Consider the following 4,430-nt stretch of genomic DNA (forward strand, 5'->3'; position numbering starts at 1 on the left):
AACATCCTGGGCTCTGTTCCAGTCCCCTACCCTTGAACAGGATGTCCTTCGATGCCTTATCACAGCAAGTCACGTGACCCTGAAGTGTATAATCCTGCAAAGGGAGCTTTTCAGGCTTCCTCATGTGCAATGCAAGCAGGGCATATGTACTCAAGACTCCACCCATCCCAGGCAGCTTTCCTGAGCCTTGAGCGACTGACTCTCAATGAGTCCTTGGTTTCTGTTATCCCTTGCTGCCCATCTGTAAGTAATAAACTGGCTTCATGCATCTTGTTGCATATAAGAACGTTTTGTCTCACTGGACTCGAACAAGTTGTTAGCCAGTGCACAGTGGACCTGCTTCACAGAATGCGAAGAGTCCAAGGCTTGGGGGTGATGTTTAGGTTGTAACAAAGCCACAAAGCACAGGTGATTGTCCATGGCAATAAAGACTATGTCTTAACATTTTACAGCTGTTACAGACATAAATTGGAAGAGAATCTATATCTGACCCTTTAAGGGGCACCTATGTGAAGTCATTTGCTGCTGAGGGCAGCTTTATACTTTAACCAAAAAGTCAAAGAAAATTCATCATTTCCTTTTGATTTCTGGAGCCAACATCGTTCTCCTACTCAGATGCTCTTCCCAGAAGACATCATCTGTAACTTGTGATCTGTGAACTGTACGTGACAGGCAAACTGAATTCTCTTTAGAATTATCTCTTTTCAGACGGGAAGATCAGTAATGACCAAATGAGTACCGGTTTGTTGCAAGAAGCACCCTGCTACCTCACCCTAATGATTAAATTTGTAATTTTTCCTTGTCTGTGGCCACTAACTATTCATAATTCTGAACCATATTTTTAGAATAATTTCTATAGTGGAATTATTTTATTGCCAGTTGTTGTTTTGTTGATTTTGGCCCACAGAAGCAGATCATAGTGGAAGAGAGAATGCCACCTGAGGCAGGACCCAGTCCAAGACAAACTAGAATGTTTACTTAAGACCTGGCATAAACTAGAATGTTTACTTAAAACACTCCATTATTTTTTGTTTGTTTTTTGTTTGTTTTTGAGATTGAGTCTCACCCTGTCAAGAAACGACAGATGCTGGCAAGGTTGAGGAGAAATAGGAAAGCTTTTACACTGTTGGTGGGAGTGTAAATTAGTTCAACCATTGTGGAAGACAATGTGGTGATTCCTCAAAGATTTAGAACCAGAAATACCACTTGACCCAGCAATCCCATTATTGGGTATATATCCAAAGGAATATAAATCATTCCATTATAAAGACACATGCACGCATATGTTCATTGCAGCACTACTCACAATAGCAAAGACATGGAATCAATCCAAATGCCCATCAGTGATAGACTGGATAAAGAAAATATGGTACATATACACAATGGAATACTATGCAGCCATAAAAAGGACCAAGATCATGTCTTTTGCAGGGACATGGATGAAGCTAGAAGCCACTATCCTCAGCAAACTAACACAGGAACAGAAAGCCGAACACCACATGTTCTCACTTATAAGTGGGAGCTGAACAATGAGAACATATGGACACAAGGAGGGGAACACCACACACTGGGGCCTATCAGGGAAGCAGGGATAAAAGCATTAGAGAAAAGAATGAAATGCATGCTGGGCTTAATACCTAGGTGATGAGTTGATAGGTGCAGCAAACCACCATGCCACATGTTTACCTGCGTAACAAACCTGCACATCTTGTACATGTACCCCCGAACTTTAAAAAAGTAAAGTAAAATAAAATAAAACACTCCATTAGCATGGAATTCAACAAGCTGAGGATTTTCAAGAGACAATTATAATACAAAAGAGATGGAAAAGCTATGTTGTATCTCTACTGTTCAGTAATCACCAGAGGCACCCAAAGACAGAAGCTGATCCCTCACTATGACGCTTAAAATGGTCCACAACTCAACCCTCTAGTCACTCCTGACATGAACATTAGCCAGACCAGTCTTTGCACAATTCCTCAAGTTCCCCTGTGGTAGGATGGCAACTACTTATTCCCCACTCCTGATTTTGCCTTCCACATGAAGGGAACTTTTCTAGCTACAAGAAGCCTAGCCTTTCCTCACCCTTTTACTCATTCCGTTTCCTTACAATAAGGAATAATGTATTGATTGCTGAGATTAGAAGGAGTAATCAGTGAGCCACAGTCCAGCTCCTTTCTGCTACCTGCAGAACACATACTTTTTCCTCTTTTATCCCATACCTTAAATTTCAAAGGGCCCTGCCCCTATGTGAAGTGGTAGTGGAGTGGACTGGGATGGAGTGGGAACACTTATCTTTGCTGACTCATTTGGGGATTTTAGTTTTAGAAAACCCTTGACCACACAAGGGACATTTTGTTCCTCTGTGCCTTACTGCTGTCTTACTTTTCAGTTGGGTCAGAACACACAGAAGAAGTAGGGATGCTATTTTGAGGTCACCTCAAAGACCACAGGACTATATTTGTTCACAACTTCTTGTTCCAGGAGTTTCTGCCATCTGGAAGGTACTTCCTCATTCTTTTCACCTTTTCCAAATGTATGCACCATTCAAGCTATTTTTCAAGTCTTAACTTCAACCACAAAATGTTCCACAAAGCAGCTGTGATATTTAAATAATGTAATATGTGTGAAAGCATTGTGTCTGGGGCAGTAGGTATATACTAGGTGTGACTTTTCTTTTTCCTTCTTAGTCACTCAAGTCTATGTTAATCTTCACCATACACTGCTGGTTTGAGTACCAAGAGGTGCAAATATCTAGAAATCAGTGAGATGTTATATCTAAAGAGCCATAAAATTAACCATGCCCTTTGAGCCAAAGTTCCACTTCTGAGAATGTATGCTGACTTAAAGCTGAAACTGGCAAATATTTATACCCCAAGATATATGTTATATTGTGATCAATAAGAATGACTAAGTAAATTGTGGCATCGACATATAATGGATTATTTCGCAACATTTAAGATTACACTAGCAAGTTTCTAAAGATAACACAAAGTATTTCTATACTTCTGCATGATCTTACCTCAGTGGTAATCATTCCCTCTCCTGAAAAATAATAAGAGCTTTATTTTTCACTCTCTTTTCTGTGTCATTCTTCAACATTATACTTTAAGAGGATTTTTTCACTATTTTCTATCATGATAATCATCATCGTTATCATCTGAAAACACAAAACCATATGTGCTGATTTTACAGGTGTTGCAGTATGAGGATATTCTCTGGAAGTTTACAATACAAAATATGCAACCACATCACACAGTAAAAACTCAATATGTATTCGTGAAGTAGTTGAGTGAATGACCTGGACTAATGTATGTATTAATAATAAAGGTACAGGTATCAAGTTCATATGTATGTACTACCTGAGTAAATAAATGAATGATTAGTGAATCATCTCTACTGTCTAATTATATATCAATCATTCATTTTGTTTTTCACTTTATTCCAGGAGATGCTAATTGCCTGTCCATTTCCCCAGTACTTCTCATATGTTCATTTTTGAAACAGGAAATAACCACTCACGATGCCCTCGGCAACATTGACTCTAAAGTATGAAATAGAACACAATTTCAAAATGAAGCACGATGCCCTCGGCAACATTGACTCTAAAGTATGAAATAGAACACAATTTCAAAATGAAGCAGGCAATTAGGAAAGTACCAGGTTATGACCATAAATAACATTCATTCTCCCACTTCAGTATAGCTGCACCACACCATTAATATACACAAAGTGCAAAAAGTGTTCTCTCCTTATTGCTTCCTGCAATTGGATCTGATGGATCATTTACCTTCAAAAACTTTATGTAAGTCTGTTCTCAAGTCAAGGTTTTAGATAACCAGTTTTTTTCTTTTTTTAGACAGAGTTCACATAGACAAAATAATCGCCCCCAAGTAGCTAAGTCTCAGATGTATTATGAGACAGATATTAAGAAACTAACGTATAAGTATTAAAATACTGAATAAGTGAATCAAATTTGCCATGAATCTCCCTGTTTAAAAAATGTCAACACTTTTATGATTCACTTTAACTGTAGTGGTATCAAGTTGGCATTCCTCTTAGATGCTCTTACTCCTCTCTCATATTACTGTAAGTGACTGATGATATGTATCAAGAATCAGACCATGTTGTTAAAAACACACACACAAGTACGATAATAAATTTTATCTTTTTGTAACTGTGAAATACTATTTTTTAATCTTTTTTTGTTTTTTGTTTTTTGTTTTGAGACAGAGTCTTGCTCTGTTCCCTAGGCTGGAGTGCAATGGCATAGTCTTGGCTCCCTGCAACCTCCGCCTCCTGGGTCTATTTTTTAATCTTACTTGAACCTCGTTATGTTATTAACCTCCCTTTCAAATCTAAGAAAGTATCTTTAAAATGGTATATTGACCATGAACAATATGCAAATGCTAAGGCCTATATGATGTTGT

General features: G+C 38.1%; 1 annotated feature.

The window, feature by feature from the left end:
* Positions 2,554-2,603: an enhancer, noted in NCBI's record as "active region_18303". NCBI's record gives its function as "activates an Ori minimal core promoter by ATAC-STARR-seq in GM12878 lymphoblastoid cells {active_cell/tissue: GM12878}" and the evidence as "EXISTENCE:reporter gene assay evidence [ECO:0000049][PMID:35858748]".

The sequence above is a fragment of the Homo sapiens genome, chromosome 21, assembly GCF_000001405.40.
Source record: "Homo sapiens chromosome 21, GRCh38.p14 Primary Assembly".
NCBI lineage: Eukaryota > Metazoa > Chordata > Mammalia > Primates > Hominidae > Homo > Homo sapiens.